The following is a 17,528-nucleotide window of genomic DNA, read 5'->3' on the forward strand; positions in this document are numbered from 1 at the left end:
ATTAACCAGAAAACAAAATGTGTGTGTATAAATGTACAACACTCTTACACTCACACAAACACAGGCACACATGCGCACACACACATTCACGCACTCACTGATGTACTCACACAAACACAGGCATTCATGTATAAATACACACCTAAGCATGTATTTATGGAAATATAATTATGCACATACAACATATAATTTTATTTTTACATAGTATATATACATAATTATGTATTAACAAATATAAGATCAATTTTATTATATACTTATTTACATAAAGGTATATATGATATAAATGATGTTATATGGCATGTATATATCACATATAACTTTGCTTAGTATATAAAATTTAATCTATAAAATTATGTATTACAAATAAAAGTATATTTTACATATACACTATATATAACTTTATTATTTATATGAACTATAAAAATCATATGTTTATATTAATAAAATATATTTATTTATATCAATATATTAATATAAAGTATACACAATGTATATTTATATAAAAATTTTTAATTAAAAAATATTCATTTTGGTTCAATATGTATGGATCGCCAGGGCAGAAACGTCTCTTCAAAAGGTGAACCGTTCTCAAAATCACCGTCATTTGGGAAAGAGTGATGCCCCATCCGTTTTCTGAGAAACAGCAGAGGCGTATGGCCAGTGGGGTGTCTCTCTCTTTCCCTGAGGCCGAAAAGTCAGGGAATTTTTCTTCCCCACCCCTAGGAGCTCTGTAAACCGGGGATATTTCAGAAGGATTTGCACAGGGTCCTGGCTTCTGTTGTAAATGAGCTCCATGGATTCTCAGCTCAGGCTTGTGATCAACTCACCTGCTCCAGAATCACTGACACAAATGCAACCACACACTTACACAAACACACATCAACACGAAGACAGAATCACAAAACACACTCATAGAAACACATGGACACACAAAGACATGCACACTCACACAAACGCAGGGACACACACACAAACACAATTACAAAAATGTGTGTTTTTTTGCACACGTGGGTGCACATGCACATTGACATTCTCACAAAGCACACAAACATGTATACATACAAAGACACTCATAAACAGAATCATGAAAACACTCTCATATAAACACGTGGATGGCTACTCACCCACAAAGACGCTCACATATGTCATACACACTCATACACACACTCAGAATCACACAAGCACACACAAACACATAAATACAGTCACACACTCATGCAAACACAGTCACAAAAAGACTCACATAATCATGTGGACACACAAACATAAAAATTCACACACCGGGGCCGGGCAAGGTGGCTCACGCCTGTACTCCCAGAACTTTGGGAGGCTGAGGCGGGCAGATAACTTGAGGTCGGGAGTTCCAGACCAGCCTGGCCAACATGGTGAGACCCCGTCTCTACTCAAAAATACAAAAATTAGCCAGATGTGGTGGCGTATGCCTGTAATCCCAGCTACTCAGGAGGCTGAGGCAGGAGAATCATTTGAACCCGGGAGGCAGAGGTTGCAGTGAGCCAAGATTACGCCACTGCACTCCAGCCTGGGCAACAGAACGAGACTCTGTATCAAAAAAGAAAAATTAGCCAGATGTGGTGGTGGGTGCCTGTAATCCCAGGTACTCAGGAGGCTGAGGCAGAAGAATCATTTGAACCCGGGAGGCGGAGGTTGCTGTGAGCTGAGATTGTGCCTTTGCACTCCAGTATGGGTGACAGAGCGAGACTCCGTCTCAAAAAAAAAAAAAAAGAATTTATACATTGCCATACAGATTCACACACATACATTCATATTCACAAACACACAAATACGATAAACACAGGGGCACACACAAACACCATCACAAAAACACACTTCCATAAAACACAGGAATGCACGCTCACACAGAAACATGCATGGAAACACACGTTGTCTTACAGACTCACAGAAACACTCATCATCACATAAACAGGCACACACAGCCACACAAGCACACACCCACACCCACATCAACACACACACTCCCACACGGCACCCACGCGCTCACTCACACAGGTAGAACAGGCCTGCATTACCTGATAACGCAGTTAAATCAGACGTGATGCTGCCTACCGAGGAGACCTGGAGGCTTCCCATGAATGGGCTTTCAGAAGAGAGGTCTCTGGGTGCATTTGGTGACACCCCAGGCAGTGGGGGAGACGTCCAGGCTGGAAGGCCAGCCACAGCCAGCTCTGCTCAAGGATGCCACGTCCATTTGCTTCAGTAGGATATGCACCCTGGTAACCCAGGTTCCTGCCTCTCCAGGAAACCCCACTGAGGTCAGCACATCCCCCCAGGTTTAGAAGGGGTCTCTGGGTGCATTTGGTGACACCCCAGGCGGGGGGGGACATCCAGGCTGGAAGGCCAGCCACACCCAGCTCTGCCCGCAGATGCCATGTCCATTTGCTTCAGTAGGATCTGCATCCTGTAAACCCTGGTTCCTGCCTCTCCAGGACACCCCACTGAGGTCAGCACACTGCCCAGGTTTAGAAGGGGTCTCTTGGTGAAATGTGGTGACACCCCAGGCAGAAGGGGGGACGCCACAGCCAGCTCTGCCCGCGGATGCCACGTCCATTTGCTTTAGTAGAATCTGTACCTTGGATTCCCAGGTTCCTGCCTCTCCAGGACACCCCACTGACGTTAGCACACCCTCCAGGTTTACAAGCGGTCTCTGGGTACATTTGGTGACACCGCAGGCAGAGGGGAGACGCCACAGCCAGCTCTGCCCGCGGATGCCACGTCCATTTGCTTCAGTAGGATCTGCACCCTGTAAACCCTGGTTCCTGCCCCTCCAGGACACCCCACTGAGGTCAGCACCCCCCACCCCCCACCCCCAGGTTTGTCCAGCTTCGCTGTCTGGGGAGAGACACAGAAAGACCACATTCGGTGGAATTCTGGCTATAACCTTTTGTGGCCGGCAAGAAGGATCACCAAGCTGTCCTGTTACCTTGCTGGAGTGATCACTGGTTTCACGCTTGGCCCCCGTGCAGTGAGTGCCTGGGCCAGGCTCGATTTCTGGAGCTCCGGTGAAATTTGGGCTTGGAGCTCACGCCTGCACCATCCAGAAAGCAGAAGGCAGCCGGCCCGGGCTGTACGGTTTGTAGAATCAGAGAGAACACTGTTTGCCTTCATGTCTGTACCACAATAAATCTGCCAACTGCAGTCAAAGTCTCTGGATTCCTGACCCCTCATTTTATTTTGTCTATTACGGAGTGGAAGGAGTGAGAAAGATTTTGCTTCCTATTTTGTTTTGCAAAGTGTTTCTAAGAAAAACAACCCATGTTCTGAAAATGAGATTCTGAGTGTCCCCTGGGCGTGATGAAAACAAATTTTGGGAATCCAAGGGCCTGAGAGGCAGAGTGAATGTCATTTGCATTTCCCTGCGAATGACAAAGTCACTTTTTATTTATTATTATTATTATAGATTCAGGGGATCCACGGGCAGCTTTGTGACCTGAGGATATTGTACGTTGCTGAGGTTTGGGGTATGAATCATCCCGTCACCCAGGCACTGAGCATTGTACATTCCTGAGGTATATAATGTGTACTAAAAATAAAATGCATATTTATATATGCACTAATGATTCAACTTGATTCCTTGTAATTAAGAAAAACAAACCCCAAATTCTAGAGGAGTTCTAGAATATATAAGAAGAGGTCCAGGTGCAGTGGCTCATGCCTGTAATCCCAGCACTTTGGGAGGCCGAGGCAGGCAGATCACCTGAGGTCAGGAGTTCGAGACCAGCCTGGCCAACATGGTGAAAGCCCGTCTCTGCTAAAAATACAAAAATTAACCAGGTGTGGTGGCGGGTGCCTGTAATCCCAGCTACTTGGGAGGCTGAGGTAGAAGAATTGCTTGAATCCAGGAGGCAGAAGTTGCAGGGAGCCGAGATTGCACCACTGCACTCCAGCCTGGGTCACAGAGCGAGACTCCATCTCAAAAAAAAAAAAAAAAAAAGAGAGCGAGAGAGAAAACAAACAAGCAAGAAAATGCAACAGAAAAATCCGTGACCCAAAGCTCTCTCCAGTTGCTGCTTTCTGCCTGAAATTCAAAGAATCTCAGGGTAGTTTTTCAACCCTTGTACCCCCGCCCCTGCTTCCTGCTCTATTAGTACTGAGGGTCTGTGGTGCCCCTTCATTGTATCCAGGTGCAGGCAATGTTTAGCTCCCACCTATAAGCGAGAACATGTGGTATTTGATTTTCTGTTCCTGGCGTTAATTCACTAAGCATAGTGCCCTTCAGCTTCATCCACGTGACTACAAAGGGCATGATTTTATTCTTGTTCATGGCTGTGTAGTATTCCATGATGCGGAAGGACCACATTTGCTTTATCTAATTGAGAACATGTGGTATTTGATTTTGTTTCTGGCATTAATTCACTAAGCATAATGCCCTTCAGCTTCATCCATGTTGCTGCAAAGGGCATGATTTTATTCTTGTTCATGGCTGTGTAGTATTCCATGATGCAGAAGGACCACATTTGCTTTATCTAGTGAAGAACATGTGGTCTTTGATTTTCTGTTCCTCATATTGATTCACTAAGCATAATGGCCTCTGGCTGCATCCATGTGGCTGCAAAGACAAGATTTTATTTTTTTCATCACTGTGTAGTATTCCGTGGTGTAGAAGGGCCACATTTGCTTTATCCAGTTGAGGACATGTAGTATTTCATTTTCTGTTCCTGGCATTAATTCACTAAGCATAATGTCCTTCAGCTGTGTCCATGTGGCTGCAAAGGACATGATATTATTCTTTTTCATGGCTGCGTAGTATTCCATGATGCAGAAAGACCACATTTGCTTTATCTAGTGGAGAACATGTGGTATTCGATTTTCTTTTCCTGGCATTAATTCACTAAGCATAATTCCCTTCAGCTGCATCCATGTGGCTGCAAAGACATGATTTTATTCTTTTTCATGGCTGTGCAGTATTCCATGGCGTAGAAGGGCCACAATTGCTTTATCCAGTCAAGAACATGTGGTATTTGATTTTCTGTTCTTAATTCATTAAGCATAATGCCCTCCAGCTACATCCATGTGGCTGCAAAGGATGTGATTTTATTCTTTTTCATGGCTGTGTAGTATTCGATGCTGTAGAAGAACCACTTTTGCTTTATCCGGTACCCTACTGATGGGCAACTAGGTTGATTCCATGACTTTCCTATTGTAAGTCATGCTGTGACAAACCTTACAGGGCTGGGCACTATAATCCCAGCACTCTGGAGGGCCAAGGTGGGCAGATCACCTGAGGTCAGGAGTTCAAGACCAGCCTGGTCAACATGGTGAAACCCTATCTCTACTAAAAATACAAAAACTAGCCAGGCATGGTGGCGCATGCCTGTAATCCCAGCTGCTCAGGAGGCTGAGGCAGGAGAATCACTTTAACCCAGGAGGCAGAGGTTGCAGTGAGCCAAGATTGCTACTGCACTCCAGCATGGGCAATAGAGCGAGACTCCATCTCAAAAAACAAACAAAAAAAAAGGAACTTTACCATGCATGTATCTTTTTGGTAGAATGACTTCTTTTCCTTTGGGTAGATGCCCAGTCTTGGAATTGCTGGTGCAAATGGTGGAGCAGTTTGGATTCAGGAGGTACATGTACAGGTTTCTTACATGTGGACGATGTGTGATGCTGAGGTCTGGGGTATGAGTGATCCCATCACCCAGATAGTGAGCATAATACCCCACAGTTGGTTTTTTCAACTCTTGTCCTTCTACCTTCCTCTCTCCCCCTAACTAGAACCCAGTATCTGTTCCCTTCTCTGTGTCTACCTATACACAACATTTAGCTCCCACTTATAGTGAGAACATGCAGCATTCTGTTAATTTACTTAAGATAATGGCCTCCACACTGTTCACAATAGCAAAGATGTGGAACCAACCCAAATGCTCATCAGTGATAGACTGGATAAAGAAAATGTAGCACATAGACACTGTGGAATACTATGCAGCCATGAAAAAGGATGAGTTCATGTCCTTTGCAGGGACATGGATGAAGCTGGAAACCCTCATGTTCAGCAAAGTGAAACAGGAACAGAAAACCAAACAGTGCATGTTCTCACCATAAGAGGGAAGTGAACAATGAGAACACATCGACCCAGAGAGGGGAACATCACACACTGGGGCCTGTTGCAGGGGTGGGGGACTGGGGGAGGGACAGCATTATGAGAAATATCTAGTGTAGATGATGGGTTGATGGGTGCAGCAAACCGCTATGGCACATATATATCTATGTAACAATCCTGCACATTCTGCACATATACCCCAGAACTTAAAGTAAAATAGAAAAAATAAAAAATAATAAAAATAATTTAAAAAGATAATGGCCTCCAGCTACATCCATGTTGCTGCAAAAACAAACAAACAAAAAAAACAAAAAAATGATTTTGTTCCTTTTCAGGGTTGCGTAGTATTCCATGGTGTAGATGTACCACATTTTCTTTGAGGGTAGAGGGTGGGAGGAGGGAGAAGATCAGCAAAAATAACCTGTGGCTGGGTGTGGCAGCTCACACCTGTATTCTCAGCAGTTTGGGAGGCTGAGGTGGGTGGATCACCTGAGGTCAGGAGTTTGAGATCAGCCTGGCCAACATGGCAAAACCCTATCTCTACTAAAAGTACAAAAATTAGCCGGGCATGGTGGTGCACGCCTGTAATCCCGGCTCCTCTGTAGGTTGAGGCAGGAGAATCTCTTGAACCCAGGAGGCAGACATTGCAGTGAGCCGAGATCGTGCCACTGCCCTCCAGCCTGGGCCACAGAGTGGGACTCCATCTCAAAAAATAATCATAAAAATAATAATAATAACCTGCTAGGCTTAGGACCTAGGTTGATTCCATTACAAAAAAAAAAAAAGAAAAAACTAACTTTTTAAAAGAAGGATCTCTCTGTTCAAAAACAAAACCAATGCCCTGTCAGGAAAGATGTTCTGTGTTTCTGGTAAAGCTGGAAGGAACCTACAGGAAGGAGTCACCCCATAAAACTAGTGGAGCAGCATTACCTTTTGAGGTGAGGGCTACTTCTGTTAGGCCACCAGGATGAGTGCCTTCCTGGGGAGTGTGGTTCATCCTATACCATCCAGGAAGCAATTCCTGCCCCCAAATCACTTGCCAGCTTCTGCCCCGTAAGTAAAATCCCCAGCAAGCGGGCAGCAAGGAGCTGCTTGCCTTGGAAGTCAGCTGAAGTCTCTGCCCACCACCCAGACTGTGTCCTCTGGGAAAGGCCAGGTCTTCCAGTTGGATGGTTTTCACATTAGCGGCTGCTTAGAATCATCAACATTGGCCAGGCACGGTGGCTCATGTCTGTCATCTCAGCACTTTGGGAAGCTGAGGCGGGCGGATCACAAGGTCAGGGACCAGCCTGGCCAACATGGTGAAACCCTGTCTCAACTAAAAAAAAATACAAAAATTAGCTTGGTATGGCTGGGCATGGTGGCTCATCCCTGTAATCCCAGCACTGTGGGAGGCTGAGGCGGGCGGATCATGAGGTCAGGAGATCAAGACCATCCTGGCTAACATGGTGAAACCCTGTCTCTACTAAAAATACAAAAAATTAGCCAGGCACGGTGGCAGGCACCTGTAGTCCCAGCTACTCGTGAGACTGAGGCAGGAGAATGGCGTGAACCTGAGAGGTGGGGTTTGCAGTGAGCCCAGATTGCGCCACTGCACTCCAGCCTGGGCGATATAGAGTGAGACTCTGTCTCAAAAAAATTAAAATAATAAAAAATTAGCCTGGTGTGGCGGTGGGCACCTGTAATCCCAGCTACTCAGGAGGCTGAGGCAGGAGAATTGCTTGCACCCCAGAGGCAGAGGTTGCAGTGAGCCGAGATTGCACCATTGCACTCCAGCCTAGACAACAGAGTGAGAATCTGTTGCAAAAAAAAAAAAAAAAAAAAAAAAAAAAGGAATCATCAACATTGCCTTGGCCCAATCTCTTCCCAGACTTGTCAAATATTTACCACTGGACCTCCATGTTCTAGTTTCAAAGCTCTGCTGGCCACAGTGGCTCATGTCTGTCATCCCAGCACTTTGGGAGGCTGAGGTAGGAGGACTGCTCGAACCCAGAAGCATGAATCCATCCTAGGCAACATAGTGATAATAGTGTCAAATGAGAGCCAGTGTCCAGTAATTCCCCAAATATCTGAGAATTTTCTTTTCTTTAAGTCACAGTCATCCTGGCAGAAGGCTGTAGGTCCCTTTGGGGAAGACTGGGAAAAAGATTAACAATGTAAATTTTTGGCAATGTAGCAGCGTACTTCCCCAAGATCACCCAGCCTCCCCTTCACTTAAGGGGTTGTGGGCCTGTGAACTGGCTCAAGTCTGGGAATTGATTGAGGGTTTTAGATCTGTGTTTCATTAATTTGAGTTAGTCTTTTATTCAGTTGACCTAGAATTCTTCATTTTTTAAACAACAACTAAGACTTTGGTACAGCCCATTAGCTCTCCCTGTGGATACCATGGACTACACAATGCCATGGGTGTCTGTGAGTCAAACCATTCTGACTGCTGCTTTGACACTGCTTTCCACTGTGGTGACCACACCCACCTCATCTTTGGTGATTAAGGACAGCCCATGTTCCCTGCCACCCCAGGATTCAATTATCCTCATTTTACTTAAAGATCCCAGTCCAGTGGCTGCAGTTCCTGCTGTAACATTTTGCCTACTGAGAGCACAAGCTCAAAGCTCTTCCAGGATACTGGGCTCATCTCACAATATTCTTTCTCATGATCGTTGTGAGGAGTATGTTCTGTAGACCCTTCAGTGTGAGTGAGCAGGTCTGACATAATAAATCCAGTCTCCCTGAGTTTTTGCATACCTTTCTGTACATATAAACCAAGGAAGTTGTGGCATCTCAACTTTATGTACCTTAGGTAAACTCTGATTCTGTTTCAGCCAACCAACCAAGTCACCAAACAAATAAGCAAACAGCCAACCAATCAACCAACAAGCAAGCAAGCAAGCAACAAACCAACCAAACAACCAAGCAAGGAAGCAAGCACCACCAACCAAGCAAGCAACCAACCAAGTAACCGATCAAACCAACCCTTGGAGCCCTTTCTAAAGCTTTGACCTACAACTCTGAGTCCAGAATCTCTGTTTAGTGGGCCAACATTAATAAATTTAGCCTAATCCAACTTTATGTTACTTTCACCATGGTGCCACACACTTAATATCCATTCCCACATATATTCTCCAGATTTCCTTCTGTATAAATTGCATGTGTGTGTGTGTGTGTGTGTGTGTGTGTGTAGAAAGAGAGGATCAACTGAAAAATCACACAATTTTATAAATTTAGAAAAGAGAGCTTTATTTCTTATAAAGGTTTGCAGTCTGCAAGGTGGCCATTATGACAGGCTGGGAAGTGTGGCCTACAGCCAAGGCCAGAGGCAGGCATTTCCAGGGAGGGAGGGAGAGGACAGGAATTTGAGCCAAATGAGTTGGCTACATATACATACTCAATAGGATATCAGAGGAGCTATATCATTTTATGAGAATACTCATAAAAGAGGTCCTAACACATGCATATTCAATAAACATGCATGTTCATTCTGGGGTGGAGACTTGACATTTAAATGTATTATAATTAGGCCCTACACATCAAAAAGTGAAGCAGGGACATGAAGGTACTCAGCCTCGTAAAGGCACAGCCTCTAAAACTGGCCAGAACCAGTCCATGGAGGATGGTCTCTTATCAGGAGAAAGTTACTGAAATCAGTCCCTTGTCCAGAGAAAGCTGTCGTTAAGGTTAGTGGGGCAGGAGATCAGTTACTCAGCATCTGTGAACTGGGTGAGTTGTAATTGTTTTAATCTTCTCTCACAGCCATCTCTCACAGCCAGTGCTTGCTTGGCTGCTAGAGAAAAATAAAACCCATGTGGTAGCTAGAATCTAGTTAATTCTTTAAGAGTAGGGTACAAGACTTAACCCTCGCCTGGCATGGCCCTAGGTCCTGTTTATAATTTGAGGTCTTATTGCCACAAAGAGTCTGTTCTGTCAGTCTCATGATCTCTATTTTAACATCAATGCTGTTCAGTTGTTGGGTCTAAACCATAAGAGGGAGGGAGGTACAGGGAGGTATGTCTGACTTCCTGTCCTGTCATGGCCAAGAACTGAATTTTAAGATTTATTTGAGGTTCCGTTGGCCAACAGGGGGTCTGTTAAGTTGGGTGGGGGGCTTAGGATTTTAGTTTTAGTTCTCAAGGGAGATAAAATAATTTAATCAATTGGCCCCTGCGACTGTGGGACTAACATGGCTATGATCTGTCGGACAGACTTCAGGGTGGCACCCAGGCAAAATTCTATGCTGTAGTAAATGCATCATGCACATTTGTAACAATATGTACATAACAATGTCACAAAATACTTTCACGGTGACACCTAGATTAGTATTTTATTGAATAGCTGATGATATAAACTGGCTCATTTGATGCCAAGACTGACCATTACCACCATACCAAGGTCATCACTGATCAGAGGCCTAACCCAAGGAGGGGGTCATGTGCAGACCCAGCAGTGGGGAGGAAAGATGCTGCAGAGGAGACAGATGCCCACAGAGGCCCCTGAGCAGATACCATGCTCACTAAGTGGTAAGTATAGACTCAACGTAGGCTGTAAGGTCTCCCCCTGTGCAAATGGGACATCCACTTGAGAGTCAAGGGTCTGTTTGGGTGGCAGGGATAGCCACTTCTGAAGGTAGAAAGGAAATAAGCCACCAAATTGGTATCTTTCTGTGAAATGGACATCGTGCTTAGAATCTCCATTTTCCCCACAACCTGGAGGAATAAGTACTGTCATGTGCATTTTGTAGCTGAGGAATCTGATGCAACAAAATTAAATTACTTGCCTAAGCAATTAGCAATTAACCAAGTCTTTCTGACTCAGAAACTCAGCTGTTGCCTGTTCATATCCAGCCCCTGTATTGGGGTCAAGATCTGGCCTGTTCTCAATGCAGCAAGATCCAGGCAGATCACACTGGACTCCCAGCACTGAATCTGGCTCAAGGGGACATCAAATTTGACTGGGTCGTGGGGCTCAGGAGCATCACTCTCAAAAATAGTGGTACAGGAAGAGGCGATGACCCTAAACAGCATTTGCAGGCAGATCCCATGTTAATCATAAGGGTCAGGACTCTCTCACTTTTCTGTCTCTCTCTCTGTCTCTCCTCTAGGGCTGACCCCACATTGGACACCACTGCATCCATGTCCATCACACACCACAGCTGCCTTTTCTTCTGCCTGCTTATGGGAAAGTCCCCTCCTCTCCTCCGTTTTCTTCTCTTCCTGCCCTATCACACCGTGCACTTCTCCCTTTCCTTAAAGAACCACCATCAACTTTAGGAGGAGGGAAAGGGGTGGCTCTGGCAGGAAAAGCCAGAATCCCCTCTAGCCAGCAGAGAGAGAGGAATGGCTGCATGTTTTCTCCCCCAATCCAAGGCACTAGGTTTTGGCTAGGTTGCAGGTTCCAAGCTGCTCTCCTGCTGTGTCGGTGAGTTCTGGTTAACCTGCAACCTCCTGATGTGGCCACTGCAGTTCATCGAGTCTTCAGGGACTCCCCATGGCCTGGAGTACTTTGCCTTGCTTACACGGGAGAGGAGAATGGATTTATAAAGAACATCATCTAAATCCAACTTGACCATTGTGTGGCCACACTTGCTAGATTGCTTTAGTCTAAATCTAGCATTGTAGAAAGACGGGGGAGCTTGGAGCTGCACAAACCCCGGTCTGGAACTGGCTCCTTACCTTGAAAGGTGAATAATCCTGGCAGGACTCTTAGCCTTCCTGGGCCTCAGTTTCTTTATCTGTTTCTTGGGAAGGAGGATCTCTGCTGGTTGGTTGGGTGATGTGGGGGCTGTGTGAAAACAACTTGTCAATACAAGCCAAAACAGGAATATTTCTCCACAGAGTATGAAGGTCAAATGAGAGAATACATTTAAATTAAATGGAAAATTTAAATGGCAAAAAAGGCAAAGCTGTATTGAAAGTTCTGAGCTTCTCTATAAGGAGCTTTTTGACTATGTAAGAATCCTATACTCGTTCCCCCTAAATATAAAAAAAAAAGTTGAAGGAGGCAGAAGGGAGAGTGATGCACGATGGGCGAGGACTTCACCTGCTGTTGCTGGCTTTGAGGATGGAGGAAGGAGGCCACAAACCCAGAAGCTGGAGCCCCTAGAAGCTAGAAAACGCAGGGACCTGATTCATCCCTTGAGCCTCCAGAAGGGACATAGCCCCACCAGCACCTTGACTTTAGCCCAGTGAGATCCTCTTAGGACTTTTGGCAACCAGAACTATAAGACGGAAATGGAAGCCACTGAGTCTGTAGCTGTTTGCTGCAGCAGCAATAGAAAACTAATGCAGAGCCCAAGAAATCACTGGTGATGAGATGGGGAAGTGGGCTCAGGAGGTCTGGATCTGTGATGAGATGGGGAAAGTGGGGGAGGTCTGGATCTGTGATGAGATGGGGAAAGTGGGCTCAGGAGGTCTGGATCTGTGATGAGATGGGGAAAGTGGGCTCAGGAGGTCTGAATCTGTGATGAGATGGGGGAAGTGGGCTCAGGAGGTCTGGATCTGAGTTGGGGATCTGGAGTGGAAGGGGAATTCATTTGTTCATTGTCTATCCTTTTGCATTGATTCAGTTTTTTTTCCATATATATATATGTGAATTTCACAATAAAAGTTTTTTCCAAAATAAAAGAAACAAAAGGGGCTTTTTGCAACTCAATTCCTATCTATGTCTGAGTCCACTTGTATTGAATGAGTCTTTCTGCTAACGTCCTTATATTTGGGTGACAATCTGAATGTCAGTGACCAATCAGAGCAGAGGCAGACCTTGGAGTGGGCAGGGCATCCTGAGGGCCCTGATTCCTGCCATGAGGCATAACCCTTTAGATGCCAGACCATGGGGAGGTCCAGGGGTTGCAGGGGAGGGCTGTGCATCTGCAATGACTCTCAGGGGGCTCCCGGTGGTGGCAATTGGTGAATCTGCACGGCAGTGTTTCAATATTGTCACAGCCCTGCTGTCTCTCATGCTCTCAAAAAGCATTTCTCTTACCTGTGACAGACTTCCTATACCTAACAGCTTGCAAAAATGTTCCAGGTTAACGAGAATAATCTCTCGGAGCCATACCTCCCTGCTTGGGGTCTCAGTTTCCCCAACTGTCTCCAGACAAGTTAGGCTAGAAGGCCCCTGAGCCTCAGCCCCTCTATACCCCTCCTGTCACCCAGACCTGATCTGGGGCTTGCACCCTGGGTGCAGCATGACAGGGGTGGGCAGGGTCTGGCTCTGGGCCAGAGGACCCTTTCTGATGGACTTCAGCTGTTGGCCTTCCAGGGGAGACTGATCAACCTCACAAGAGTCATACGGTGAGTAGCGGTGGGCAAATCCATCCCCCTCATCTTAGATTTATGGGGAGACAGAGAGAAAGAGGAGACACTCCAGGAAGACCTGCAGGTGGGAGTACCAGGTTGAAACCAAGGACACCTTCCTGGAGGAGCTGCTGTTTGAGCCAGCTCTGAGAACAGGTGGGGACAGGACTGGAGAGGAGAAGGGTGTCCCCTATGAGCAAAGACTGGCCACCACCCAATCTAACACCCCCACAGGGCCCCTGTGGCATCCCTGTCCAGTCCCTGTCACCACCCAGTTTTTCCCTCTGGACCCAGGAATTCAAAGTAAGCAAGGAGGTCCGCTGCTCCAGTTGGCTGCATATAATTACAACCTTGAGCCCAAGCAGCACTTTGGGTCCTGGTTTGGGACCATGAAGCGGCTCGGTGAGACTGAGAGGTAAGGCCAGGGCAGGAATTGGGATAGTGGGATTGAACTCTCCCTGGGGGCCAGCCTCAGAAAGCCTGTGGCCATGGCCTCTTGGTCAACATCAGATCCTGTGGTCTGGCAATGCCTGGGGTACCCAGACCTCACTCTGGACAGGCCCTGGGAGGGGGCCCTGGTGAGATTCCTGGCAGCCTCACAGCCACTCTTCTGTCCATAGCTACAACATGTCATGCCAGCTGGAGGCTCCATCCCAGTTGGCTGGGAGCACAAAGGCCAGGAAGATAGACATCACCCACCACAGGAGCCAGTCGGGTCCTGAACCAGGGCGGGCAGAGGTTGGCTGCCTTGGGATATGGGTGGGCTCAGGGAGTCAGACAGCAAGGGACTAGCCTCCCATCCTACTGCTGACCAGCCCTGTGACTGGGGAGAGTCACCTTACTTCTCTGGGCCTCAGTTTCCCCCTCTGTGGAGTGACACTAAATGATCTCTCTGGAGACTGGGATCAATAGGGCACTGGTGATTGACCAGGCACTCAGCACATGCCTGGAGCACACGGTGCAGGGCTGTGGTGGGGAGGTGGCCTGAGTTCCTGGGGAGTCACCCATGTGTGCCTGCCGTTCTGACCAGCCACCAGGCACTCAGGGCAGAGCCCACTACCAGCAGCAGCTCACACCCCGATACCAGCTCAGAGGCGGCCCCTAGCTCAGCAGCAGGGACATCACGGACACTTTAAGCTGCTACTAGGGTGGCTTCTCCAGCTCCCACGTGGAGAGGGGTCCCAGCTGAGTCCCACTCACGTGGAGTCTCATGCCCATGAAACTGCCATTCACCACTGGCCAGGCTCATGAGGCCGCATGAAACGGGGGTCACTGGGCAGGAGATATCGGGGGAACAGAGAGGGTGGTTGAATTTTTGTATAATAGGCAGTGCAAGTGTTTACCGTTTGGGAGGGGAAAGGTTTGTTATTATTAGCAATGTTACACTTGAATATTATACTAAAATCCAGTTTCTCTATAACCTGGGAGTTGCTCTTTTGTTCTTTCTTTTCCCATCTTAATTAAAATGAGATGCAGACTCTCACGGTCCACAGTCGATTAAGAAATCTTGCACGGCCATCAGGTTATGTCTTGGAGAGCAGAGTTTCAGTACCATCAGCCTGGCAAGGAGCCGAGCCTGCTCCTCAGAGCTGCCGGGACTGCGAGAATTGGCATGTTCACAGGGCACTGTCACAGCCTCTGAAACATGCTGTCTTTAAAGACGTTTGCAGGCTGCATGCGGTGGCTCACTCCTGTAATCCCAGCACTTTGGGAGGCAGAAGCGGGGGGCTCACTTGAGGTCAGGAGTTCGAGACCAACATGGCCAACATGGCAAAACCCCATCTCTACTAAAAATACAAAAAATTAGCCAGGTGTGGTGGCAGGTGCCTGTAATTCCAGCTACTTGGGAGGCTGAGGTAGGAGAACTGCTTGAACCCAGGAGGCGGAGGTTGCAATGAGCAGAGATCACACCACTGCACTCCAGTCTGGGCAACAAGAGCAAAACTTCATCTCAAAAAAAAAAAAAAAAAAAAAAAAAACACAAAGACATTTGCAAGGACCATGTCCTCACCCAGAATGGTGCCTGCCTTTCTACAGTTTTTCAGGAAGAGGAAACATTTTCTGCTTCTCTCGCTGAGGTTTTTTTTAACCACCCATTAGGAACCTATAGATTTCAGGATCGAACACTGGGATTCCCTCAGCACTAAAGGAGGAAAATTGCAAACAGAGCTGAAAGTGCAATGTGCAAAGGTGAGGCTAAGGAAGGTTCTTAGCCAGTAGACCAAGGGCAGGAAGGACACTGCCTCCTCAGTCTCCCACTAGGGAACTTGTGATTCGTCTCCCCTGACCTCAGAATTCCTTGTCATGTTTGTTTTGTCTCCAAGGGAAGGGTTTGAATTACAGAATTTAAGGCTAGAGTGAGCCTCGTGCAGTTAACATTAACCCTCTCTCTCCTTCGCTGGCCGAGGTGAAGTCCGGGAACATGTAGTTCTGACGTCCACTCTCTCGGGGGATCACCAGTTCACCCATCTCACCTGGCAAGCTGGGCCCTAGTTTGGCGACAGGCATCTTCCACCCACCTGGGAGGCAGGGTTCAACACTCTGCCTCTGACCTTGTTTCCTTCTTCTGCCATCTGCTTAGGCAGCCAGAAGGGGTTGTCCAGCCAGCACCTGGGCTTTGGCACTCCTCAAGTAGGTGGAGGAAGTTTCAGGCACCTGGCTCCTCAGGTGTCTGCCATCCAGGTGCTCTTCAGGCCTGCCCAGCAGAGCTCTCTTGATCCAGCTAGAACTGGCCAGAACTGACTCACTCAGGAATGTGTAGACTTTGGCATCAGGGGCTGCTTTAATTTGCACAATTTCCAAATACCTCTTTTTTCTTCTTTTTCTGATGAGTCATCTCCCTAGACTTGCATTTTAAAGAGATAGATAGTTATCAGGTTCCAGAGAAGACATGGTAGAACATTTATATCTCAAAGACACAGAGCTGAGACTTCAGTTTTAGATACTATAATTTGCCTAAACCAAAAAGGAAGGTGTAGGTAAAGTTCTAGTCAAGACAGGATGGCCAGGAAAAACACCTTAAACCAAGGGACGGCTTGCTTTGCTGATTTAAGCCAATGGCTTCTTTATCATAAGACTTCCCAGTGATTTAGTCCTCCCTCTCTTCCAGTGCACAGAGACATACCCCTCCTTACAAATAAAAATGTTCTTTATAGATGTAAATTTATTTTACAAAAATGTTTCAAAATGACCAGATGAAAATCATCCTTATGCCAGAAAGACTTGTTTTTTTTTTTTTCATTACTAGAAATGAAACAGTAAGTATTTGTTGTATTGACATACTTAGGCTTAGACCTATGTTTAACATGAAAGCCTAATAATAGCACTGTGGTTAGACTGCAGCCTATTTTTCCAAACCATCATTTTATTATTAAGGAAACGAAGGATCAAATACCTTTCATTCATCTGATATGATCCTTTAAAACACATTCCACTAATAAGTCCCATTTGGAACAGCTGAAAATCTTTTAATAAAACTTTTTAAAGATGAGCTCATGGCTTAGTGTAAATTTCACAAGCTTAATTAGGTCAAATGGAAGGAACTCAGATGAGTAGTTGCCCAATCAGAGCCCATTTGTAAGTCATCAGACCCCTCCATGACCTTAAAACTCCACTCTGACTTAATTATTGCAAACCTATATACAACAAAGTGAAAGGATTAATTTTCATTCATCAACCTCTCAATCCCAGATTTTCAAAGAAAAAACCTATGTAAGGAATACTTACCAAAACCAGACAGGAAAATTAGAGCCTGCATACTTTAGAGTCAAATTTGTTCCACTACAGCCAGGTCGCATACAATTACATCATTTGGTTCTTCATACACTCTAGAACTGACTAGGACAGAGTTTAGCATAGAAAAACTGTAAGAAATTGGTTCTGAAACATAGAAATTGCAAAGTTCAAAAGGCTATGAAAAAAACTAATGTAAATGAGAGACTCCCCTCCTTTTGTTTTAAAGAAATAGACCCATCAGAGAAATGCAAATCAAAACCACAATGAGATACCATCTCACACCAGTTAGAGTGGTGATCATTAAAAAGTCAGGAAACAACAGGTGCTGGAGAGGATGTGGAGAAATAGGAACACTTTCACACTGTTGGTGGGACTGTAAACTAGTTCAACCACTGTGGAAGACAGTGTGGCCATTCCTCAGGGAT

General features: G+C 46.1%; 1 long non-coding RNA gene across 5 annotated transcripts; it reads right to left on the reverse strand.

Annotated features, from left to right (window-relative positions):
• Positions 1 to 9,287: 9,287 nt before the first annotated feature.
• On the reverse strand, positions 9,288 to 17,236 carry LOC105379203 (uncharacterized). Of its 5 annotated transcripts, none has more exons than XR_948831.4 (3): positions 17,095 to 17,236; positions 11,746 to 11,854; positions 9,288 to 9,860 (listed from the first exon to the last, which is right to left on the reverse strand). It is a non-coding gene; the product is annotated as an uncharacterized LOC105379203 (long non-coding RNA). The 5 variants fall into 5 exon arrangements; XR_948832.4 differs by lacking the exon at positions 17,095 to 17,236 and adding an exon at positions 15,921 to 15,988; XR_948830.4 differs by lacking the exon at positions 17,095 to 17,236 and adding an exon at positions 15,888 to 15,982.
• Positions 17,237 to 17,528: the final 292 nt, after the last annotated feature.

This window comes from Homo sapiens, chromosome 15, assembly GCF_000001405.40.
Source record: "Homo sapiens chromosome 15, GRCh38.p14 Primary Assembly".
Lineage (NCBI taxonomy): Eukaryota > Metazoa > Chordata > Mammalia > Primates > Hominidae > Homo > Homo sapiens.